Here is a 24,757-nt window from a genome sequence, read left to right as displayed (position 1 = left end):
ATATGTAATTAATGTGCTAATCCCTCATCTAATTATATCTAAGCCACAGAGGGTTTAATTGATCCTCTTCTAAATTTTAAATGGTAACATTTTTAAATATTGCATAATAGTATTTTTTCAGGTGGTTATCGTTATTTTGTTTCACATTTTCCATGTAAAAGAAAATATTAAACAGGTCCCTGACAAAAGTGTAGAATACCAGATAAAATTGTCCGTCGTTGACCTTCGTTTTCTTAACAGTCTTGGAACAAATAGTTCTGTATTTGTTACCATGCTAATGAAGGTTTTATAGAGTAGCTGTTGAGCAGACATCAGCAGTTTTGTATTAGGATTGTTGTGTGCTTGCTTGGTCGTTGTGCAAATTTATCGTCTGCAGCAATATTCCATCCCTTTCCAAGAGTCAAGGAGGGAAGTTGTTATTTCTAACTTTCAATGACAAGATGTGTCAAATTCTTGTGACAAACTGATAAATGGATAATATAATGATGCCAGGCAGTTTTTTAGTGCTTAACATTTGGGCTGGCAGTCTGTTCGGTGTGAGAGTTTCTGCTGCCTTCCAAATATATTTTAAGTGTAAATCAAATAATACAGACGAGTTACGAGCTGAACATTTTCCCAGGCCCCCTCACTCCTTCCGCGTTCCCGAGCTGTTCTGTTCTGCCAGGAGGCAGGGCTCTTCTTTAGAAGGCAGGCCCTTTGAAGGTTTGCATGAAACTCCCTTTCTCAAAGGAGGCGGAAGAGCAATACCACATAAACGCTCACCGCTGACCTGGAGAATTGGCCACTTCCCTTTTTCTTCCCTGCCGCTGCCCCAGGCTGGCTGACACGGGTTAGAAGATGAAGCAAGATCAAGGGCTGGCTGTCACCGACAGTCTGTGCTCTTGCTGGATAATGATACAAAGGAAACCCTGTGGCTTGGGAGGGTAGGGAAGTCCCTCCTAGAGATACCTCTCATTTCCTTTTGCGTTGAGCTCTTAGACGAGGTATTGGCGAGGCAAAGTCCAGCTTCTAGTTAGTAATAAGCCTGGCTTATTTTTCACATTTTTAAGGGTCATAAAAGCAGTCCGTCTGCACTGGGACAGCAGTAACTATCTCTGACCTTTTCTGTCTCCGCGTCTGCAGGTTCTAGCACAGACGGCAACAGCGCCGGACATTCGGGGAACAACATCCTCGGTTCCGAAGTGGCCTTATTTGCAGGGATTGCTTCAGGATGCATCATCTTCATCGTCATCATCATCACGCTGGTGGTCCTCTTGCTGAAGTACCGGAGGAGACACAGGAAGCACTCGCCGCAGCACACGACCACGCTGTCGCTCAGCACACTGGCCACACCCAAGCGCAGCGGCAACAACAACGGCTCAGAGCCCAGTGACATTATCATCCCGCTAAGGACTGCGGACAGCGTCTTCTGCCCTCACTACGAGAAGGTCAGCGGGGACTACGGGCACCCGGTGTACATCGTCCAGGAGATGCCCCCGCAGAGCCCGGCGAACATTTACTACAAGGTCTGAGAGGGACCCTGGTGGTACCTGTGCTTTCCCAGAGGACACCTAATGTCCCGATGCCTCCCTTGAGGGTTTGAGAGCCCGCGTGCTGGAGAATTGACTGAAGCACAGCACCGGGGGAGAGGGACACTCCTCCTCGGAAGAGCCCGTCGCGCTGGACAGCTTACCTAGTCTTGTAGCATTCGGCCTTGGTGAACACACACGCTCCCTGGAAGCTGGAAGACTGTGCAGAAGACGCCCATTCGGACTGCTGTGCCGCGTCCCACGTCTCCTCCTCGAAGCCATGTGCTGCGGTCACTCAGGCCTCTGCAGAAGCCAAGGGAAGACAGTGGTTTGTGGACGAGAGGGCTGTGAGCATCCTGGCAGGTGCCCCAGGATGCCACGCCTGGAAGGGCCGGCTTCTGCCTGGGGTGCATTTCCCCCGCAGTGCATACCGGACTTGTCACACGGACCTCGGGCTAGTTAAGGTGTGCAAAGATCTCTAGAGTTTAGTCCTTACTGTCTCACTCGTTCTGTTACCCAGGGCTCTGCAGCACCTCACCTGAGACCTCCACTCCACATCTGCATCACTCATGGAACACTCATGTCTGGAGTCCCCTCCTCCAGCCGCTGGCAACAACAGCTTCAGTCCATGGGTAATCCGTTCATAGAAATTGTGTTTGCTAACAAGGTGCCCTTTAGCCAGATGCTAGGCTGTCTGCGAAGAAGGCTAGGAGTTCATAGAAGGGAGTGGGGCTGGGGAAAGGGCTGGCTGCAATTGCAGCTCACTGCTGCTGCCTCTGAAACAGAAAGTTGGAAAGGAAAAAAGAAAAAAGCAATTAGGTAGCACAGCACTTTGGTTTTGCTGAGATCGAAGAGGCCAGTAGGAGACACGACAGCACACACAGTGGATTCCAGTGCATGGGGAGGCACTCGCTGTTATCAAATAGCGATGTGCAGGAAGAAAAGCCCCTCTTCATTCCGGGGAACAAAGACGGGTATTGTTGGGAAAGGAACAGGCTTGGAGGGAAGGGAGAAAGTAGGCCGCTGATGATATATTCGGGCAGGACTGTTGTGGTACTGGCAATAAGATACACAGCTCCGAGCTGTAGGAGAGTCGGTCTGCTTTGGATGATTTTTTAAGCAGACTCAGCTGCTATACTTATCACATTTTATTAAACACAGGGAAAGCATTTAGGAGAATAGCAGAGAGCCAAATCTGACCTAAAAGTTGAAAAGCCAAAGGTCAAACAGGCTGTAATTCCATCATCATCGTTGTTATTAAAGAATCCTTATCTATAAAAGGTAGGTCAGATCCCCCTCCCCCCAGGTTCCTCCTTCCCCTCCCGATTGAGCCTTACGACACTTTGGTTTATGCGGTGCTGTCCGGGTGCCAGGGCTGCAGGGTCGGTACTGATGGAGGCTGCAGCGCCCGGTGCTCTGTGTCAAGGTGAAGCACATACGGCAGACCTCTTAGAGTCCTTAAGACGGAAGTAAATTATGATGTCCAGGGGGAGAAGGAAGATAGGACGTATTTATAATAGGTATATAGAACACAAGGGATATAAAATGAAAGATTTTTACTAATATATATTTTAAGGTTGCACACAGTACACACCAGAAGATGTGAAATTCATTTGTGGCAATTAAGTGGTCCCAATGCTCAGCGCTTAAAAAAACAAATTGGACAGCTACTTCTGGGAAAAACAACATCATTCCAAAAAGAACAATAATGAGAGCAAATGCAAAAATAACCAAGTCCTCCGAAGGCATCTCACGGAACCGTAGACTAGGAAGTACGAGCCCCACAGAGCAGGAAGCCGATGTGACTGCATCATATATTTAACAATGACAAGATGTTCCGGCGTTTATTTCTGCGTTGGGTTTTCCCTTGCCTTATGGGCTGAAGTGTTCTCTAGAATCCAGCAGGTCACACTGGGGGCTTCAGGTGACGATTTAGCTGTGGCTCCCTCCTCCTGTCCTCCCCCGCACCCCCTCCCTTCTGGGAAACAAGAAGAGTAAACAGGAAACCTACTTTTTATGTGCTATGCAAAATAGACATCTTTAACATAGTCCTGTTACTATGGTAACACTTTGCTTTCTGAATTGGAAGGGAAAAAAAATGTAGCGACAGCATTTTAAGGTTCTCAGACCTCCAGTGAGTACCTGCAAAAATGAGTTGTCACAGAAATTATGATCCTCTATTTCCTGAACCTGGAAATGATGTTGGTCCAAAGTGCGTGTGTGTATGTGTGAGTGGGTGCGTGGTATACATGTGTACATATATGTATAATATATATCTACAATATATATTATATATATCTATATCATATTTCTGTGGAGGGTTGCCATGGTAACCAGCCACAGTACATATGTAATTCTTTCCATCACCCCAACCTCTCCTTTCTGTGCATTCATGCAAGAGTTTCTTGTAAGCCATCAGAAGTTACTTTTAGGATGGGGGAGAGGGGCGAGAAGGGGAAAAATGGGAAATAGTCTGATTTTAATGAAATCAAATGTATGTATCATCAGTTGGCTACGTTTTGGTTCTATGCTAAACTGTGAAAAATCAGATGAATTGATAAAAGAGTTCCCTGCAACCAATTGAAAAGTGTTCTGTGCGTCTGTTTTGTGTCTGGTGCAGAATATGACAATCTACCAACTGTCCCTTTGTTTGAAGTTGGTTTAGCTTTGGAAAGTTACTGTAAATGCCTTGCTTGTATGATCGTCCCTGGTCACCCGACTTTGGAATTTGCACCATCATGTTTCAGTGAAGATGCTGTAAATAGGTTCAGATTTTACTGTCTATGGATTTGGGGTGTTACAGTAGCCTTATTCACCTTTTTAATAAAAATACACATGAAAACAAGAAAGAAATGGCTTTTCTTACCCAGATTGTGTACATAGAGCAATGTTGGTTTTTTATAAAGTCTAAGCAAGATGTTTTGTATAAAATCTGAATTTTGCAATGTATTTAGCTACAGCTTGTTTAACGGCAGTGTCATTCCCCTTTGCACTGTAATGAGGAAAAAATGGTATAAAAGGTTGCCAAATTGCTGCATATTTGTGCCGTAATTATGTACCATGAATATTTATTTAAAATTTCGTTGTCCAATTTGTAAGTAACACAGTATTATGCCTGAGTTATAAATATTTTTTTCTTTCTTTGTTTTATTTTAATAGCCTGTCATAGGTTTTAAATCTGCTTTAGTTTCACATTGCAGTTAGCCCCAGAAAATGAAATCCGTGAAGTCACATTCCACATCTGTTTCAAACTGAATTTGTTCTTAAAAAAATAAAATATTTTTTTCCTATGGAAAAAGTGCCTTCAAAGTACTTTTCTTCTTTTCTTTTCATTTTTCTTTCTTTTTTGTTTGTTATTTTAATTTGCCTTCCTTTACTCTATTTCCCCCAAAATTACAGTTAATCCAGAGACTTCTGTCTATGGACACTGTGTGCCCACTTTTCAAATCGGGATGTGCACATCACACAAATATTAATTTTGCTAAGAGCCGTGAGCTCGTTATTCCCCATAAAACCACAAACTCTCATTTCAAAAATAATATGCAATTGTATAAAATCCTAATAATCCTCAACAGAAAATCTCTCTAGTGGCACCTGAATTGCACAGTCAGAATAGTTACCTACAAAGTTAGCTGTCTCAGGAAAAAGAGGGAAATGTACTCTTATCTTACACTTAATTCCAGATCGATCTAGTGTCCATAGAAGCAAAGCAGCGGTCTATCGCTTCATTTTTCTTAACAGAATAATCCTAGGGAGAAGGAAAAAGTCAAATGTTTTTGTAAAAACTTAACATTGATGAGAGCACATTTTGAGATACTGGTTGAAGGCAAGCCAGAGGCCAGCTGTGAGTTTAAAACACACTTTCAGTGGTCATCTTCCTGGGGAAGGTAACTATGTACCCTGAGGGGTGTGATTGTTTTTCAGGCCTCTTGTAGTCCTGGGTATTAAGACTGATCACTATACTTCCTGGGTAGCTTTTTAAACAACCAAGAGTCCCCACCCATGGCAGAGAACTTCACACCCTTGAGATCTGAGTGCTAACATCTTTACATTATCTCAGGTTAATCCCTGCCATAAGAGTGAGACATTTTAGGTAGGGAGAATAGGAAAAGGCCCCTGGAGTCAGGAAGCAAGCCAGAAGAGTTCCCAGGTCTGACTGACTTGCCCAGGACCACACCCCAGTCAGTGGAAGAAACCATATGTTTCAAAAGTCCATAGGTGATGAAGAAAGGCTGGTTTGGACACAGGGATCTACACAGCTTAGCACAGTACTTGTACTAGAGAAATGTTTGTTAAATAAATGCCTCCCTTCATCAGCAACAACAACAATCCCCGGAGGCCCAGGGTTTTCGTGGATGGTAGAATCGTAGTTTCATCTGTTCCAGGATTTTCTCCTGCTGCACCCACCTGCCTTCAGTTGCAGATCCAAGTTGATGGATGCAATTTTATGGCCAAGCCACTAAGCTGAACCCTCGACCGTGTGCACCAAGGTCATTTCTAGTTAGTTTGGGCAAAAGAAAAGAACCAAAGTGAAATCATGCATTTTCAACCTTTACTTTGTGGTACCTATTACAACATAAATTACCGAATACACAATGTCATGGTTTGGACCCTGTTTTTAAACCACGTTTTCTGAGTAAGCCAAGCTCAGCTAAGAAACAAGATTTGTCCACTTGTTCTTTTCACCTGGGAAGAAGGAACACACGCAGAAGCTCCTTGCAGAGGGCGTATAACCAGATGCCCTTTGTTCTGTCTCAAAGGTGAGCCCAGCCTGCTCTGAGCACGTTACTTCTCTGCACAGGCGAGCGTCCCTCAGCCAGCAGCCAGCTCTCTTTCTTATCAACTCCCTTTTTGGCAAAGCAGATGGCCATTCAAACCCTGGGATAAAGGTTCGCAATGGAAATGAGAAAAAATAAAGTATTCCTTTCTGGGTAACTGCTGTCCAGCTTACTGTCAGTCTCTGAACCCAACCCAGAGAAGAATTAGCAAGAGAAAAAGTAAACTCCAGAGTAGTAAAACTCACTTTCCTAATGTAGGTTAAAAAAAAAAAAGAAAGAAAAAGAAAAAGGACCATTACCCTACTTTTTGGTTGGGTAGCAAATAGGTCTCAGGTGGCTCAGGAGACACAGTAGCTACTGCAGCACCAAGGACACTAGCCTGGATGTGCTACTGCTTTGGTTTTTACTTTGGATGGATTTTTGAATTACGTTTGTGATATTTACACTATACACTTACTTGAAGGCAAATTTTCAGTGTTGTCATGGAAAAGAGTATTTCCTACTCCGATTCATTATTCCAGGTAGAGAATCATTCATCAGTGATTTGAGGGGGGGGTACTAAAATATTGCATTATTTGTAACAAAATATAGCAAACCAGGTAGGTTAATCCATTTTTAGATATGTCCCAAAAGCTAACGATACATGCAGCTTAAGATTTTTATACTTTGATAACTTGATTAGTGGAATCTCTTTAAAACAGTGTTCATATGAAGTCAACCATATCTTTAAAAACAACCAACCCCCTCAAGAATTCTCCAGGTATACACCAGGTACACAGGCATACGGCACAAGGAAAATAATACTAATTATAGCAGCACAGTTTCTGGCCAGTTGTAGACAGTTAACAAAGGTGTTAAATCATGAAAGGGGCACCTGGTTTCTGGCTGTATTTCTGCTACTGACTCATGCTGTGACCTTCAGCAGATCCTTTTATGTTCTGTGCCTCAGAGCCTCACCTGTAAAGTGAGAGGGATGGATTCTAAGATACCAAAGGTCGCTTTTGCCTTTTTGCAGGATTCGCAGCAAAAAGCCATCACCATTTTCAGCTGTACAAAAGTATCTCCATGCAAGCTTCTCCGTGTCCTAGTGTGCTGCAGACACAGCTCTGAAGTCTGCGGAGGTGGTGCCCAGTCGGCCCCACCTCTTAGCTGCGCATGCCCATCCACCCACTGCCTCCAGCAAGAACCCACTGCCTCCAGCAAGAACCCGCTGCCCAGGGCCCGGGGTCCAGGACTCTGCGGCTCTTCACCCCTCCCTAGAATCAAAATCCAAAAAGACTTCAGAACCAGCGATGTATATGTACGGATTGAGCTGGTGTTGCCAGCCCTTCCCTCTAATTGTTAAGTGGAATCATTTATCTCTATTTAAAAACATTTTCAGGCCACTGCAGGCGGGGTCCGAGCACATTCGCTACACTCTTCTACGTGACTGTCTGATAAAGACCCACCACGAGCCAGGCAACGTGTCGGGTGGTCACGGTGTCCCCTTCCACCAGTTAACTTAGCCCAACTTGACTTTGTCTTCCTTGTAGACTCAAGATTAATTTAACTTCCTGTTGAATATTGTTCATGCTGGTATCTGGAACACATCCTTATCCCTCCTTTATTATTTACACCTCTAATTCTGTAGTCTGTGACAGAAAACTGTAGAATTGAGAAACATCTTTTAGTTGATAATAGAGCTATTATTTCTTAACTAAGTGCCATTCATGCTTAATAAAGAGATTACAGGGGTGTGTGTATGTGTGTGTGTATGTGTGTGTATGTGTGTGTATGTGTGTATGTGTGTATGTGTGTGTATGTGTGTATGTGTTTATGTGTGTGTGTGTGTGTGTATGTGTGTGTATGTGTGTGTGTGTGTGTGTGTGTGTGTGTTTTAAAAGGCGTGATGACTCTTATCTTAAAACGTCCAAGAACAGTAGGGGAGATAAATTTCCTCAAAGCAAATTGCTTAAAATTACCTAGAATCTTAAACTGAATACTCCAAGAATCCTCTTCAGGTATATCATTTTTGTGCAGTGGCTTCATTAACACAACACTAAACGAAGAAAAAAAGTAGTCAAAATTCATTTCTATCTCTGGGATTCATCAACTGGGAAAAAATGCTCCAGGAAGAGCTCACAGCTTGCTCTATCTTCCAGTGGGTCTAGGAGTATTTGATCTCTTAGTTCTTCATCAACTGAGTGACCTGCATGATGTTCAAGATGACAAAAAAGATGTGAGACAGGTTTCTATACACATAACTCCAACTTTTTTGTTTGTTTGTTTTACATGAATAACTAGTATAGCTTAGATTCCTTTACATGCTAAGAAAGCATAGAACCTGTGGAATCTGGGGCACCTCTGTCTGGAACTTCTGTTTCTTCATGTGACCCAAGGCAAACCACATAGCAGGTCCTTGACTTAGGCCAGCCATCTGCAACGTGGACTCCCTCGGATACTCATTGAGACTTCCTAAGACTTAGGTCAATTACATGCAGCTAATGTTGAAGTGTAGCTCATAAAACACAACAAATCCAAAAATCTCATCTCTGTTTTCAGCAGAGAACACACAGGTTAGTAGGGAGCCGTGGGGAGAGGCAGAGGCAGCACTGGTTTCAGTCACCCTCAGCTAGCACCTTTTCATTAGATGGGCCTGAGACACTCAAAATGAGCTCACCTAAGCAGATTCTTGCTTATTGATAAGTCTAGAAGCTTCATATAACGAACACACACACATGTGCATGCATGCATACACACACACACATTAATTTGTCCACTCATATAACATCATTTATTTAGCACTTACTATCTACCAGGCAGTGTGCTGAATATTAGAGATTATAACATGAAAGACAGGATTCCTCCTATGAGGGAACTCACGGTCCACTTAGGAATTTTAAAACCTCATGAACAGCAATTAGGCATCTCGGATGCAGGTGAGAAAGGAAGGAAGAAGGCTTACAGCTGCTCTAGGTCTGAATTCCTTGGGCATTGTTTTAGGAAGGTGTTTGTCTATTTGTAGCTGTCTTTTCATCCACCTGTATCTTCTGTTACTGCCAGTTCAATTTCTTTCCTTTTAAATCTTTCATTACATGTATGCCGACTGGCTGGTTAAGATGCTAAATTTAGAATCGCTGTTCTGCTCTTCAGAACGTCTTAGGAGTTTGCCTCAAGTGCCTGCCTCCAGCCTTAAAGGGCAAATCAAAAAGTTTCCAACTGGTTTCCAGCCCACATTACAATGTGTATGTGTATTTGAAAGACTGTTTCTTGGCTATAATTGGTAGTTTTCTGGTAGCTGGTTCTGAGGAAAGAATTGCAGAGAACTTTATGTCCGCTAACAGTAGTTAGCCCTGGACCCAAAAACAGTAGGGAAAAAAAGGAAGTCTGAGTATCTGGGGTGTTTGCCAAAGTGACCTACAAGCTACGTGCAGCATAAGCATTTCAGACGAGCAGACGCGGGGCTCCTCCTGCATAAACCCAGGTCCCTGCCTCTTAACTTCCGTCTTTGTAAAAGGGGAGGGAAAAGATAAGGGTCTCCTACCAACTCCCTTAAATATTTCAGATAAAAATAATGACGGCATTAATTACACTTCAACTTACACCAGTTTATTCCTCCACACTGTTGGCTGGGTGTCAGGAAAAGATGAAAAACATTTTCCAGGAGTGCCTGTGTCAGAAGTTCGTATTCTGTGTAGCAGTCACACGTGGGCTTATATAAAAAAAAAAAAAGTCTGCTTAAGCATGGTGGAAGCACCATTCTCCATTTCCAAAACTATCGGGTACTTTGCTAAACAATGGAAAATGTACCTTGATAGTTTGGTCTCTGAAGCTCCCACTGAGGCCGCGCTGCCGGGACTGGGTTTTTTGCTGCAAACAGTTGCTGAAAAAGTGGGAGGCATTAACGTTTGTGTGCAACACAATGAGTGGAGCCAATAAAGCCTCGTGTGCTGTGGACGTTAACCACAGGGAGAGGCAGCTGTCCATTGGAAAGGTGGCATACCAAGTCCTCACCTCCTAAAGATGGCCTGGTGGGACATGCTCTCTCCCTGAGTCACCATCGCCTCAGGGACCACGAGAACATGGATTAAAGCCACATGGCTTTTCATCCCCTGTGCGTTGTTTTTGAGTCTCAATTATGCTAACTTTAAGAACAGATTCCAGAAAAGTGTTTGAAATATGGCAATAGAATTTTTTAACCAGCACCGCCGGCCAAGCAGGTACTACTATTACAACAGTGATTAGGCAGTTTGAAGAGTCTGGCAAATGCTTTATAAGGTCACCCCAGCTTTTTATAGCAGCAAACAGAAATCCTTTGGGAAAACTTTTCTACTGCAGACCATCGGCACCCGCGTGTTCTGTGATGCTTCTTGGTTTTGGATATCAATATCTGATTTCTGACATTCAAGTATGTCTACCTATGAACTCTGCAGAGCCCTAAGGTAGGGAGACTGGAGATCTGTGGAGCTTTCTGTTTGCAGGTGATGTGCTTTTTATCCCTTTGGTTCTTTTTATTTTTCCTAGTATTTTACTTTGGAAATTTTCAGATATACAGAAAAGTTGAAAGACAGAACAATGAACTCCCAGCTATCTTCTATGTAGAGTCAATAATCAGCACTTTGTACATATGCTCATGCTCTGTGTGTTTCTATGTACATCAGTATGTGTGTATGTGTGTATATGGATGTGTACACACATTCCTTGGCTGAAGAATTTTCAGATCTCACAATACTTTCTTCCCACATGTCAGCATCTCGGAAGATGAAACCCTCTTGTATAACCACAATGCCATTATCAGTCTTGAGAAAATGTACAAGCATTTCATAATATAATCTACTATCTAATCTATTAAATTTATCTTTTTAGGTTTTTTTTAAAATGTGGGTAAAAATAACACTATAACTTTATCTGATTAAAAATTATGATTCCTTTTCCATCCCCTCCTCCATTTCTCAAAGTAAGCACTGGCATAATCAGTCTTGTCTATCTGTTCAGAAAAATGATATATGCACACACTTGCATATAAATAGTGTTTCTAAATGATCTCTATAGAGATCACATCAGAAATACTGTTTTATGCCATGTATTTTTGGTAAGTAATATGTCTTGGAGACCATTCCTCATCAGCACGCTCAGATCTACTTAAAAAAAAAACTGCCACATAATATGCTTGTTTATTTTGTCCATCATCTACAGGCAAAATATGGTTTTTAAGCTGTTCTGCATACTGCTTCATGAACATATTTTGGTTTGTGGAGAGACAGGAGGGCTCATCAGATAATCGAGGTACTCCACTATTTCTCTCAGCCTCACTTGCACATAGGTTGAGGGCAATGGGCCGTAGCTGGAATGATGTGGTGACATAAAAGAACAGGTGCTGGATCTTCATGTGCTCCTCCTTTCCTGCTGTAGTGACTATAGATATCACAAGTTCTAGAAGGCACAGCTCAAAGATGATAGAAGCTTGGTCAGCCTGGATCCCTGAGTGACTTTGTGGAGTAGAGCCTCCCACTGACCTGCGGTACTATGCTCTTTGCATAATAAATAAAATGAACATGCTAAGCCGGAATATTTGGGGAATTGTTTGTTGCCACAGCATAAGCCTACCTGTTCTTACACACACTTGACATCTCAAGGTACTTTTCCAAATATATCCTTCACCTAAATTCCTGGTGGTGAGATTGCTGTATGAAAGGAAATAGCCTTTTGAAATTTTGATAGATACTGCCAGATTGTCTTCCAATTTCCTTCCTCTTTCACTTCTGGTTTGAACACATAATTTGTGTTCCACTCCATTTCTTCTCTTCTCTGGTTTGTTTACATTTTTACTCTGTGATATGCTTTACAACCTACAAGAGGCAAATAGGATGAAACAGATTAATACTAAAAGGAGCCTTTAATTTGTTTGTGTGTTACTGTATTTAAAGTACTATCTCTGTTTTAAGTAACAACTGTTGAAACATTACATATCACTTTGATGCCAGCTGTGGAAATTAGAAATAAATGTAATACATAAATATATGTCAAATAATCTGAAGCCCCCCCTTGTTACAGTTTAGACCTCTTTTGTTTCATAGCTGTGGATGCATAAGAGCTCTTTCATTAGTGTATTTGCTACTAAAATAGGACTTGATATCTGCTAGTGTGACCAGAGCATGTGATCTTGAGCTGTGGACCTGGGAACATGATGCAGAGAGATTTGTATTTTTGCTTTTAATAGAGAAGACGCCTAAGTGTAAGCCATGTAATTGCAGTCAGTTATCTTGCTAGCACAAACAAAACCGAGTATTCCGGATCTAATAGAAATTTCATCTAATGAGATTTAGGCAGTAATTCTCTCATGAATGTGATATACTTTGTTACTTCGTTCTCCTTTTTGAACCAGTAAGAGGATATGTTAAGAGTTATACAGAAAAATTGAAAGGCATGTGCTTTATTTATTTTGCCAAATATTTACTATCTCCCCAAGTGTCTTCCCATTTATTTAAAATTGTGCCAGAAGCTTTGCAGGAAACATAAAAAGCACCTAAGATAGAGCTGCTGTGAAAATAGCAATCACGGCCCACTGTAGTAATCTTAGTTTTCTAAGAGAAACATAATCTTTTCAGAATAATAAATATTGTTTATTTTAAAAATTACAATTTTAGGGAAATAAGTGATTGTTTTGAGAGTTATGACAGCCTACTAAAGAAGTTCTGTAAACTTTCATGCCCTGTTTTAAAGTAGAACTCCCTGTACCCGAAGCCAGAGATTCAGATTCTATAGAGCTGGTGTGACCCAAGAATCTTTTTTCCCCTGCAAACAGAAGATTGCTGGTGTATGAATGGTTGATAACAGCTCGAAGGTTTCCCTCTCATGGGGTTTTTCTTTTTATTCTTTTCTTTTCTTTCCTTTTTAATAAACAAGGTTCAATCTCTTCAATTAAAGGACTTAAACTGTCTAACATAATTTTAGTGATCAGATATGAAGGGAGGATGAGGATAAGGAGATTTGTATGTTTATACATACATACTTTTTTTTTCTTGGACAATAACTTAGTTCTAGAACCTGAGCTTAAATCTCAAACCCCATAGATCATACTACATAGGAGGTTGCCCACTCTGTCTAGGGTAAGGCTCCACTGATCCTCCAATGAGTCCTTTTACGAAACAACACCTACTCCCTCTACGCCTCTTCAGTGCCTGTCTGGGCCTTGCTTGTCTGCATATAATACAGATGGTTCAAAAATAGAGATGAAGCCAACAATCAGAGACTTTCAACAGAAAGACTGGCAAAAGGATCAGCCCTTGGAGAAATAGCGGGGCTGTTTTGGAATGAGTTGAACGCACCTCTGCTTCATTCTTCCTCCCAAACTGTCCAGGCCGTGGGTCCTGGGGCCTTCTGAGATTCTTGGGTACCTCCTGGCTCCTCCTCCCTCATCTCATCACCCAGCTACAGAGTTTGTGTTGGCATAAACCACATCCACTGGTCTCCCTGCTTAGTATCCCAGCTCCTCCACCCCCAGATTTCAACTATCTAATCTGATGAACAGTTTCTAAAGGTTAGAAGGCCTTGCTCAGGAAACATATGGTTTATTTAACTCAGGTCTTCTGAAGATAATGTCCCTGTTTTTCTTGTTTTTCCCAGTAAAACATCAGCTCATAGCAAGTCAATATAGAAATATTTTCTTGGCAATGAGAGCTTCTCTGCAACGTTCAAACTATGCCTTTGCTGTCCAGATGCAGGCCCGGCTTTGGCTGTGGTTCCCTAGAACAGTAAGGATAAGCATAATTTGTTTTTCTTTTCTTCCTTCCTCTTTTTTCACATCATGAACATTCTCATTTTTTTCTTATAGGAATTGAGACACTGGGCGAGGTTTCTAATTACTTCAGCAAACACAGGCAATCAATAGCTAGCGGTCATAACCAAGAAGAGAGAAAATGGAGTCCGTTTGTTTTCTTTCGGGCTCTTTCCCTTTCTTTTTGCCAATTTCCACATGCAAGGAAATAGCTCATAGGGCTTGCGCTCCGTGGATCTGAGCTACAGGAGGCCCCACAGAGCATTATCAAAACACATTAGAAAAAGATCACATTGCAAGGAGGAGCAGGCTCGGCCCGCCAGAGATCTCTCCCCCTGTGCTAGGAATCCAGTGGCGGGCAATGATGCTCATCTGCACCTCCTCCTTCATCCTGCACCGTGCAAAATCGGCCAGCGGAGGCCTTCCTGTTCAGCCCAAATCATGGCGTATCTGATATAGAAGGAGGTTCTTTCAAAAATGCAGCGTCATCCTCGCACATTCCCAAAAGACAGCTGCGGGTGCGTTTCCACTGCAGATGGGCTCTGTGGGAACCCCATGCTGCTGCGTGTTAGCTACGAGCTCTTGAGAAAGCTACTTCACCTCCCGGAACCTCAGTTTTTTCATCAGTGAAAAGAGGTCTACGAACACCCACCTTGAAAGCTGCCATGAGATTAGTGGGAATAACACGCACAAAAGGGGCTAGAAGGTAATAGGCACTCAGTAACGATCTGTGAATAGTGTCTCTCTATTTCATACTATCTTGAGATATAGCTGATCTCAAGACTTGGCTTTGTGATAGGTTTTATTGTTTGTTTTTGTTTTTGTTTTGTTTTGTTTGAGATGGAGTCTCGCTGTGTCACCCAGGCTGAAGTGCAATGGCTAGATCTCAGCTCACTGCAACCTCTGCCTCCTGGGTTCAAGTGATTCTCCTGCCTCAGCCTCCCTAGTAGCTGAGACTACAGTTGTGCACCATCACGCCGGGCTAATTTTTGTATTTTTAGTGGAGACGTGGTTTCATCATATTGGTTAGGCTGGTCTTGAACTCCTGACCTGGGGTGATCCACCTACCTCGGCCTCCGAAAGTGCTGGGATTACAGGCGTGAGCCACCGTGCCCAGCCCTAGATTTTATTCTTGACCGCAAATAATCCTACGTTGCTGACTTTTTTTTTTAAATACACCTCTTTTAATAGGCATGCAAACATTAGTGTCAACATTACATTATGTATACAGTGGTCCCTCCTTATTGTTTTCCTCAGTTTCAGTTACCCTTAGTCAACCAAGTTCTGAAACTATTATGTCACTACTCTTGTGCTCTGGGGCCATTATGACCTAAAATAAAGGTTACTTGAACACAGCGCTGTGATACCTCAATGCTTGATCAGAGAACCAAGGCAAAGCTACTAAGCGGCTAATGGCAATCCAGGCTGAATGCAGACAGCACCAGGCTCCATCATGCTGCTAAGACCGACGCCATTTAGAACATATGCATGTTTATTTCTGGAATTGTTTATTCATGTCACAATGCCTGCATCATTCATCTCATTTCATCTCATCACACGGGCATCGTATCATCTCACATCATCACAAGGAGAAGGGTGAGTAACATACAATAAGATATTTTGAGAGAGAGAGAGACCACATTCACGAAACTTTTATGACAGTATATCATTATAATTGTTCTGTTTTATTATTTTGTTGATCTCTTACTGTACCTAATTTATACATTAAACTTTGTCTTAGTTGTGAACATATAGAAAAAAACATAGTATATACAGGGTTTAGTACTATCTGTGGTTTCAGGCATCCACGGGGGGTCTTGAAAGGTATTCCAAGAGGAGTACACATTGTACAGCATCTTTAGATATCTCCAAGGGAAGAGGAAATCCATATGCATTTTTTTCCCAGAGTAAGGACAGAACATTCTTTGCACCTGACTTTCCTGCCTTCATTATTTAAGTCAGCATCAATATATACTTCATACTAAAATACTGCTGATTCAGACCTAAAAGGAGATCAAGTTTTTCCTGGTTTATACCTGGCTTATACAATAAGACAAAATATATGGTAACTATATTAAAAGCATACACAGAATGCATCTCTGCGAAAGTTCCCGTCCCTGTGTCAGGATTCTACATGTGCCAGCTGCTGCTGGAGAGCAGGACTTTTCTAAATGAGGAGGAGGGCAGGAGCAGAGGCACCCGCGAGTTCCAGAATTAATGGGGTGTTGCTGAGTCCACTTCTGGCAGAGCCACTATAGCATCATTCTCACAGGGTGGAAGAGAATCTGGCCGTCTTCACAGTGTATTTAGTGGGCACGCAGATTACCCTCTCACCAAATGTGAGGGGCTGCGCTGTGCCACCCAACATTCCTGTGTTCAAGTCCTGATCCCCAGTACCTCAAATGACTATTTGGAGAGAGGGACTTCACTGAGCTAATCAAGTGAAAATGAAATCACTGGAGTAGATCCTAATCCAATATGACATGTTCTTATGAGAACAGGAGATCAGGACATAGGCACATATAGAGGAAAGACGGTGTGAAGACACAGGGAGAGGACGGCTGTCTCCAGGCCAAGGAGAGAGGCCTGGAATAGCTTCTTCCCTCACAGTCTTCGGATGAACCCTGCTGACACCTTGATCTTGGACTTCTAGCCTCATGTACTGTGAGAAAATACTTTTCCGTTGTTTCAACCATGCAGTTGATGACACTTCATTATGTCAGCCCCAGCAAAACAAAACACACTAAATATCTCCCTTAATCAATTATTGCTCTTAAAGAAATTCTTAGAATCCTTGCCACCTGCTTTGCATAACATACAAAGCCATGTGTTTCAGGTGGTATAAGGAAAACTGTGTGCTTCAGTGGAAAGCCATTCATTATATAAAGCAGGAGTTGGCAAACTTCACCTGAAAAGGCCAGATAGTAAAGATATTAGGCGTGTGTGCCATGTGGTCCTCGGCTGTGACTCCTTGGTTCTGTTGTGGCGACGGGAGGCAGCCGTAGACCATAAGTAAACAAATGGGTGTGTTCCAATAAAAATTTACTCACAGAAACAGGTGGGGGCCAGATTTGCAGACACCTGGTGGAGAGCACACCATTCTGGGTTATCTGGTTCCCAGCTTTCCATTCCTTTGAACTCTTCTATGACTCTATAATTTATAGATGACCAACAGCAATGCAAAATGTTGTCTGAAGACATGAAAAATAAATTCTGCCTGGTAGATGCACACATTCAATGGACTTGCCACCCCAGCCGGGGAAGAAGCTGGTTTCCTTCATCTGCACGTTTGTTTCTATATTCCTGATGCAAAATTGCGTCTGTCCTTTGTATTCTTCTTGAAACTGGTTGTTGCATCTTACCATTTTCTCATTAATGAGTTAAGTAAAATCTTTACTGTGTATTCATTGTTGTATCTGTACAAGAGTCAAGATTCTATCCATTTTTGGAACATTTTCCTTTAACACTGGATCAAGAGATTATGTTATCTGGGCAGATTAAAACATTAGCTGTATTGTGGCTGGGCATGGTGGCTCATGCCTGTAATCCCAGCACTTTGGGAGGCCAAGGCAGGAAGATCACTTGAGGCCAGGAGTTTGAGACCAGCCTGGCCAACATGGTGAAATCCCATCTCTACTAAAAATACAAAAAATTAGACGGCACAGTTGTGCGCACTTGTAATCCCAGCTACTCAGGAGGCGGAGGCAGGAGAATTGCTTGAACCTGGGAAGGTGGAGGTTGTAGTGAACCAATATCACACCACTGCATTCCAGCCTGGGCAACAGAGTGAGACTCCATCTCAGAAAACAAACAAACAAACAAAAACAACAAAACATTAGCTGTATTGTGGTACAAAAACACAGAAGTCCCAGTGCCTGAGGCTGTGAATGCAAACTAGAATGGCGAGGCTATTTCTGTGTCCTGGGCTGACGGGTGCCTCCCCAGGACTTGGGCAGTCAACTAGGGTAGCAGAGGATAAGAAGAAAGGTTTGGAATTAAACATCTTGATTTGCGTTTCAGACCCGTAATTTAATGGTTTGTGACCTTGAGCATATCTCATAAACTTTGCAGTCCTAAGTGTTCTCGCTGTAAAATGGAGAGAGGAGTACATACATCACAAGGGCTCCTAGGATTCAGATGAGACCGTAAATCTGAAAGATTTTCACAGTGCACAGCCCATTCTCAGAGCACGGTAATGTGTTGGCTAATTAAACGTAAGCAGCTGTTACGATGAAGGCAATAATAAGGACATGTAGAAAGTTTGAGAGGTTATGTGAAATGGCAACAAAAAAAACGTCACTCCATTCTTAAGTTTGTCCTGTGGCAGCATTGCATTCTTAGAGAGAAAGGTAAACAGTAAGTGGAACCATGGCCAAGAGTATAACTCTCTAACTCTTTCATATCTCTCAACCAAACAACAGCCAGCAATTTCCTTGAACATTTTCTGCCAGTGATTCAGATTTCCAAATTTTATGATAAACAGGTAACAAAGACTCATAGTCATGAAGCTATTCGCACAAAGGTTTAAGATTGGAGACAGGCCGTGCTGCTGCTGGGTCCAGACAGCCTGAGAAGTTTCTGAGTACAAGGGTCAGATGACAACATTAGGCTGAAACAACACAGCTTAACAGGCCAGGAGTTCTGTCTTCTTGAGGATCGCTTTATATTTCCTAGCATAGATCTATGCATGCACCGCATCTCAAAACATGTTATGTGCCAGGTACTTACATTTTGTACGTTTTTCTGAAGAAATTGTTAAATACTTTTATTTATTTATGCATTGGTTTTAGACATGGGGGTCTCACTATGTTGCCCAGGCTGGCCTCAAACTCCTGGGCTCAGGGATACTCCTGCCTCAGCCTCCTGAGTAGCTGGGATTACAGGAACATGCCACCATGCTCAGCTAATAATTTTACTTTTTTAATGATTCGTTCAAATTATGTCTCGAAATGTTTGCACACATCAAAATCAAAACCTCACAAATTCAACAAATATGCAATGAGCTGTGACTATGCCGGCTCCTAAGCCAGGAGCATGAAAAATACAAGAATGAAGATGGCTTAGTCAATCACAAAGTGGTTTTCACGTCTCAGAGGAGGTAGGCAAGGATCCCCATAATTAGAACCCAGGGAGGGTGACGTGGGGCCTCCACTGGGCTGGCACTCCTGGGATAACATCCACCAGCTTCTAACAAGTTGCCAGGTTGGTGAAAGTCTCTACCCTAGAAGAAACACCAGTGCAGGTCCCCTCAGGAGGGGCGATCGGAGGGAGGGAGGGAGGACAAGGAAGGCTTGCTGTAGCTCCTCTGTGATTAGCATCACAGGTGAGTCATGCCGAGGAGGGAGGGGGCTCCATTTCTGGGGTCTGTGCTTAACTCATGCCATGAAGATAATATGCTTTTTTTTCCCTCTCACTGTGAAAGAAGCTCACAGCTGGCATTGTGCTGCAGAGGCCAAGTGGTATGATACCTCAGCTCAGATAAGGATAAGGAACCAGTTACACGTTCGCCGGGAGGGTCAGTTAACTCAGCAAGTGCCCAAACTCTCACAACCCTGCCTGGCTGGGGACAGTGTTTGTCAAATCCTTTAGACTGCAACCCAGCTAGGTTACACGGTTACCTAGCATGCACCCACGTGCACACACACACACACACACACACCACACACACACCACACCACACACACACACCACACAACTAAAGCAAAACTTCATGAAAAATTTACTATTATCATACATGATGTAATCTGATGTTTTGTATATATTTTTGTTCCCTTCCAGTTTTAAAAACAACCTGCCTCATTACATTTATTTCACTACTTTCCTCAATTTCCAATAGGTCAAAATCCATAGTGTGAATGAATAACACTGGCAGTGGAATTTTAAGATCCTCAAAAGGAGTTCAGTGTACTATGGGTGTTAAAGCCATTGACGCAGTTCACAAGCGAGAAGACATTCTTGCATCCGCAGGGTTATAGTTCTTAAAATCTTGCCTCAGAATGAGTTCAAGTTTCTAAGTCTGTGCCTCAGTTTCCTCATCTGCAGAATGGAGAAACTAGCAGTATCAATCTCCTCGTGCTGTCATGATGGTTATATGGTTGCATATAAGTAAAGTGCTTAAAACAGCACTGTCTGAAATAAGATTGTTTGCTTTTGTTGCATTTGTTATTGTTGATGCATTTACATACAGCAGATTCAGTGAATGGTAAAGATAGTTTTTTTTTTTTTAACAATTATTTAATTTTAAAAAAGTCATAACCAAGGATGATAGCATTTGCTTCCTCTCACTTCTCCTTTCAGGGTAGCGCATCAAAATTGCAATTCCAGGCCAGGCGTGAGCCACCGTAATCCCAGCACTTTGGGAGGCCGAGGCAGGCAGATCTCCCGAGGTCACGAGTTGGAGATCAGTCTGGCCAACATGGTAAAACCCCATCTCTACTAAAAATACAAAAATTAGCCAGGTGCAGTGGCAGGTGCCTGTAATCCCAGCTACTCCGGAGGCTGAGGCAGGAGAATTGCTTGCCCCCGGGAGGTGGAGGTTGCAGTGAGCCGAGATCATGCCACTGCACTCCAGCCTGGAAGAAAAGACCGAGACTCCGTCTCAAAACAAAAAAAAAAAAAAAAAAAGAAAAAAAATTGCAATGCCAATGCATAAGAGCAAATTAGCAGCCCCCATAGGGTTTGTCTTAATAATAATTACTGAGTTACAACTGACAACAGTTCCAAATAATTTATTATGGGTACAATATGCCAATAAAAAGAATATTGGCAAACATTTATAGAAACTACAATTTCCATTTCTGCCGTGAAGACCTTCCCAAAGGCTCTGGCCGGCTCTGTTCTGTTGAACTGGACTTCTAGCAGCGGGCGTGGGAAACTCACTCCAGGACGGCGCAGCTTCTCTCAGCCCTGATGGGGAGACGGGGTCTGGGCCTGCGCTTCAACTGCAGCCCCGCAGGATTCACGACTGCCTAGGGCTGCTGGAGGACCAGGTGGGTTAGCCCACCCCAAACCTGTGTCCCAGTGCCTGAGGCTGTGAATGCAAACTTGCCCAAGAGGTTTCCTGGGAAAGGATTGTCGGAAAACCAGACAGAGACAAGGCTTATCAGCCTGACTCAATGCCAAATGCCAGGGTCAGCAGGGACACCTGATGCACGAGGGCACACACACTGCTGGCCACTCCGCCCTCAGCTCTGGCCTGGCCCTCAGCCCTCACATGCTGCCGTCAGAGGCCTGAGCAAGGTACTGAAATGGAGGAAATGTACACATTGAAGAGCAGTCTCACTGCCATCTCTGCTGTGCGGTGAGAGCACACGACTTCAATTCAGAAAACATTTCAGCGTGCTGCCACAAGCCGGGCCTGTGTCCCACCAGCTCCCTTCAAAAAGCACGGCTCAGCCCAGCTTTCCATGCTGGGGGCTGACTTCAGGCCACAGCCACAGTGCCATGGCCCTTGGTAGGCATGTCACTAGGGTGGGGACTTCAGAGGACACTGGGTCACTCCTTACGGACCGGAAGCTGGATAACACCCAGTTAGCTGGAGCAGCAGAGGAGGAAAATGGTGACCACCTCCTTGTAGTCAAGAGGAATTTGTTGAACACACGTAAGACCTTCCTAGAGAACTTTTACACTGATTAAGGGGAATTTAAAGGTGCTTAAAAGGGAGGTAGACGGGCTAGGGAAATTCCAGTCATGAGTGTAAACAGGAGCCTGTTCTACCCACAGCTTAGGAGGACCTGGGAAATGTGAGCCACCTTTACCATCACACATGGCAGGGTTTGGAACCTGGAACCCCTGATGGCTTTGTGGATATTATTCAGAGATTTGCAAACCCAGACAGATTAAAAAAAAAAAAAGAAGCAAAACTACACACAAAAGCAAGAACAAAAGTAAAAAGACTGCGTCATTATTTCTTCCAACCTCTAATTGAGATTTAGCATTTTCTTCCTTTGGGAACATAAGCACTTTCATATTCAGCCACTGCATCTGTATTTCCTCTCACAGCTTCTTTTGCAGGAATGACTTCATTCTACCACCCTTTGCTGCCATATCAGGACGTCGGGAAGCAAAGAGACGTGTCGGCTTGATCAGCACACAGGTCATTCCTAGAGAGATCAGCTCAGTCACCGAGCAGGCAGGAACAGGCACTCTGGAGGGGAGAGGCAGGCCCAGGAGGATGAGTCAAGGCAGGGATTGAAACTGCAGGATGAGGGAGTCAGCGCCTGGGAACCCACAGGGCGGAGTTAGATAAGAAGAAATGCCCGCGGAATCTGCAGTTTAAATGGAGCCTGGGGTTTGTAAAGAGGAGTCAGGCGTTCTTTACCTTGTCAGTTCCGACTGCTTTGTGCACAGCTGACTCAGAGACCGGGTGGGGCTGCCCTCTTAGGTGAAACCAGACCGATTAGAAAGTCGGCTGGGCCCTGCAGATCCTGCCGGCCACACCCTCCCAGCATTAAGGGTATGCCTCATCTGTGAAACCAACTCTCCCCCGTGAAGGAGAAGTGACATGTCCATTTTAAAGAAAATCACTTCATGGTTGAGGAGGCATGATTTTTGCATGCAACAGAGGCAGTGTAGAAGAAGTTCTTAATCAACCTTTGTGCCAAGAAGCTCTTTAGCAGTCTGATGAAGCCCGTGGGCCCCTTCTAAGAATAATATTTTTAAACCCATAACATAAATACATCGGGCACCAAGGAAACCAGTTATATTGAAACAGCTATCAAAGGAAACCAAATATCTTGAAATACAGTTATCAAAATATTGAAGTAATTGTGATCTAGTACTACGTGTGCCTCTTGATTAACTCTTTAAGTAACAAGATCTAGTATAATTCAGAAGTACATTGTACTAACGGCAATGACATTTTAAGGCATTTGCCAAAACTGCAAGGTGTTGTGGGGACACTCGCATTTTCTGTTGGTGACCAAGGGGCATTTCATGTTATACCTTTATAGAAAGAACAACGTAGTTCCCTGTGTCTTGTGGAATAGTGTGATGATTACAGGGGGAGTTCCACTAGAAAGCAGCATTCATTGATGTTGCTGATGGACTTACGGGAGTCAAACATTCCATTTTTCAAATTAAGAGCTGTGATACTGGCTGGGACTGGTGGCTCATGCCTGTAATCCCAGCACTTTGGGAGGCCAAGGTGGATCACTTGAGGTCAGGAGTTCAAGACCAGCCTGGTCAACCTGGTGAAACTCCATCTCTACTAAAAATACAGAAATTAGCTGGGCGTGGTGGTGGGCGCCTGTAATCCTGGCTACTCAGGAGGCTGAGGCAGGAGAATTGCTTGAACCTGGGAGACGGAGTTTGCAGTGAGCCGAGATCATGCCACTGCACCATTGCACTCCAGCCTGGGTGACAGAGCAAGACTCCACCTAAAAAAAAAAAAAAAAAAAGAGCTGTGATATTAAAAATGGCTTGGATGCACTGTTTTGGCTCAGAGAAGGGGCTTTGGAGTCAGGCCGACTGCTGTCATCCTAGCTCTTCCCTCTGCCCCCTCTGTGACCAGAGCTAAGTTCCTTTACTTCCATGAGCCTCAGTTTTCTCTTCAGTGGTAAGAGCACCGCTCACAGAGCTGTCGTGAGGCACACATGAGACCATGCTCCGAGGTGCTTGGCACATGCTGAGTACTCAATATGTCTCAGCTGTTGTATTTTGTGTTATTTAGATGCAACATACACAGGCTTCAATGAGCAAGAGGAATCCAATGGGATCCTAATCTGCTTAAAACACTCGTGTGGGCGTTTCCACAAATGGACCTAACCACACTCTCCCTTACTGTCCCTAGCAGGGGCATCAGTTAGGGTGAGCACAGGCCTTAGGAAACAGGAGATACAGGTCAAGAAGGAACAGAGAGCAGGAAAGGATCCTCACTAAATATCGGAGACCCTGTCGGGGCTGGCTTGGCTGTGAATCCCAGGAGAGGTGAATCATTTGGGGTCAGAGCACAAGGCGAAATGGAGGAGACACTGCAGCCAGCACTGGCATCACTGGAAGAGAAGTTTTATTTTTCAGTAAAAATATTTTCTCTAGAATTAGGAAACAGGATGCTGGTAAGGATAATGCACTAATTATTTCTTTTCTTTTTCGCTTTAATATATTCAAAGCAAAAAGTGCTTCAGAGTTTCTTCAAATAAGAAAAAGTTGGGCATGAAGTGTAGGGAATAAACCATCCCCACTCTCTGGGTGGCCAAGGTGGGAGGATCACCTGAGGTCAGGAGTTTGAGACCAGCCTGGCCAACATGGTGAAACCCTATCTCTACTAAAAACACAAAACTTAGCCAGGCATTGTGGCACGCGCCTGTCGTCCCAGCTATTTGGGAGGCCGAGGTAAGAGAATTGCTCGAACCTGGGAAGCGGAAGTTGCAGTGAGCCGAGATTGCGCTACTGCACTCCAGCCTGGGCGAGAGTGAGATCTTGACTCAAAAAAACAAAACAAACAACAAACAAAAAACAAAACAAAACAAAACAAAAAAGCGGAGTAAGGAATAAACCAAATAGGTGCCCCCTGCATTTCAGCGCTTTTGCTTTCTCATGCTTATGAGATTAAATCATCTAAAAACAAGTAGTGTTAACGGGGGTAACACAGCATGGGGATTTTCTGTTTCTTTTTATTGCTGCTATTGTAGTCAATAAGATTTTATTTAGACCCGAATAAAGCACCTAGTAATTCTGGAGGCCTGGTATAAAAGACACTTTTCAAAATTGAACTT

At 43.4% G+C, this 24,757-nt stretch overlaps 1 protein-coding gene and 2 long non-coding RNA genes across 6 annotated transcripts in view, besides 6 other annotated features; 2 read left to right on the top strand and 1 right to left on the bottom strand.

Annotated features, from left to right (window-relative positions):
- Nucleotides 1-4,806, top strand: part of EFNB2 (ephrin B2) — a 45,918-nt gene extending 41,112 nt beyond the window's left edge. For all 4 annotated transcript variants that reach the window (NM_001372056.1, NM_001372057.1, NM_004093.4 and 1 more), the window contains one exon: nt 1,123-4,806. In NM_001372056.1, coding sequence (NP_001358985.1) covers nt 1,123-1,511 — 389 coding nt within the window. In that variant the 3' untranslated portion in view covers nt 1,512-4,806. The remainder of the gene's footprint in view (nt 1-1,122) is intronic.
- Nucleotides 224-1,423: an enhancer, noted in NCBI's record as "CDK7 strongly-dependent group 2 enhancer chr13:107145476-107146675 (GRCh37/hg19 assembly coordinates)". NCBI's record gives its function as "activates an origin of replication core promoter dependent on BRD2, BRD4, P300/CBP, MED14 and CDK7 cofactors, with strong dependence on CDK7, by STARR-seq in HCT116 cells {active_cell/tissue: HCT116}" and the evidence as "EXISTENCE:reporter gene assay evidence [ECO:0000049][PMID:35650434]".
- Nucleotides 1,571-2,071: an enhancer, noted in NCBI's record as "H3K4me1 hESC enhancer chr13:107144828-107145328 (GRCh37/hg19 assembly coordinates)". NCBI's record gives its function as "activates a minimal SCP1, AML or CMV promoter by ChIP-STARR-seq in primed H9 embryonic stem cells {active_cell/tissue: H9 hESC(primed)}" and the evidence as "EXISTENCE:reporter gene assay evidence [ECO:0000049][PMID:30033119]".
- LOC124903247 (uncharacterized) lies at nt 4,751-6,106 on the bottom strand. Its single transcript, XR_007063940.1, has 2 exons — nt 5,916-6,106; nt 4,751-5,256 (listed from the first exon to the last, which is right to left on the bottom strand). It is a non-coding gene; the product is annotated as an uncharacterized LOC124903247 (long non-coding RNA).
- Nucleotides 14,100-15,299: an enhancer, noted in NCBI's record as "MED14-independent group 3 enhancer chr13:107131600-107132799 (GRCh37/hg19 assembly coordinates)". NCBI's record gives its function as "activates an origin of replication core promoter dependent on BRD2, BRD4, P300/CBP and CDK7 cofactors, and independent of MED14, by STARR-seq in HCT116 cells {active_cell/tissue: HCT116}" and the evidence as "EXISTENCE:reporter gene assay evidence [ECO:0000049][PMID:35650434]".
- On the top strand, nt 15,379-22,804 carry LOC105370346 (uncharacterized). The gene is made up of 2 exons (XR_002957491.2): nt 15,379-15,638; nt 20,340-22,804. It is a non-coding gene; the product is annotated as an uncharacterized LOC105370346 (long non-coding RNA).
- Nucleotides 20,614-21,301: an enhancer, noted in NCBI's record as "H3K27ac-H3K4me1 hESC enhancer chr13:107125598-107126285 (GRCh37/hg19 assembly coordinates)". NCBI's record gives its function as "activates a minimal SCP1, AML or CMV promoter by ChIP-STARR-seq in naive H9 embryonic stem cells {active_cell/tissue: H9 hESC(naive)}" and the evidence as "EXISTENCE:reporter gene assay evidence [ECO:0000049][PMID:30033119]".
- Nucleotides 21,579-22,778: an enhancer, noted in NCBI's record as "P300/CBP strongly-dependent group 1 enhancer chr13:107124121-107125320 (GRCh37/hg19 assembly coordinates)". NCBI's record gives its function as "activates an origin of replication core promoter dependent on BRD2, BRD4, P300/CBP, MED14 and CDK7 cofactors, with strong dependence on P300/CBP, by STARR-seq in HCT116 cells {active_cell/tissue: HCT116}" and the evidence as "EXISTENCE:reporter gene assay evidence [ECO:0000049][PMID:35650434]".
- Nucleotides 22,116-22,410: a silencer, noted in NCBI's record as "tiled region #9098; HepG2 Repressive non-DNase unmatched - State 20:ReprD, and K562 Repressive non-DNase unmatched - State 9:DNaseU". NCBI's record gives its function as "represses a minimal TATA promoter and a strong SV40 promoter by Sharpr-MPRA in HepG2 and K562 cells {active_cell/tissue: HepG2 | K562}" and the evidence as "EXISTENCE:reporter gene assay evidence [ECO:0000049][PMID:27701403]".

Source organism: Homo sapiens, chromosome 13 (assembly GCF_000001405.40).
Source record: "Homo sapiens chromosome 13, GRCh38.p14 Primary Assembly".
In the NCBI taxonomy this organism is placed as follows: Eukaryota; Metazoa; Chordata; class Mammalia; order Primates; family Hominidae; genus Homo; species Homo sapiens.
Note: the sequence above shows the minus strand (reverse complement) of the source record. Positions and strands in the feature narration are given on the sequence as shown.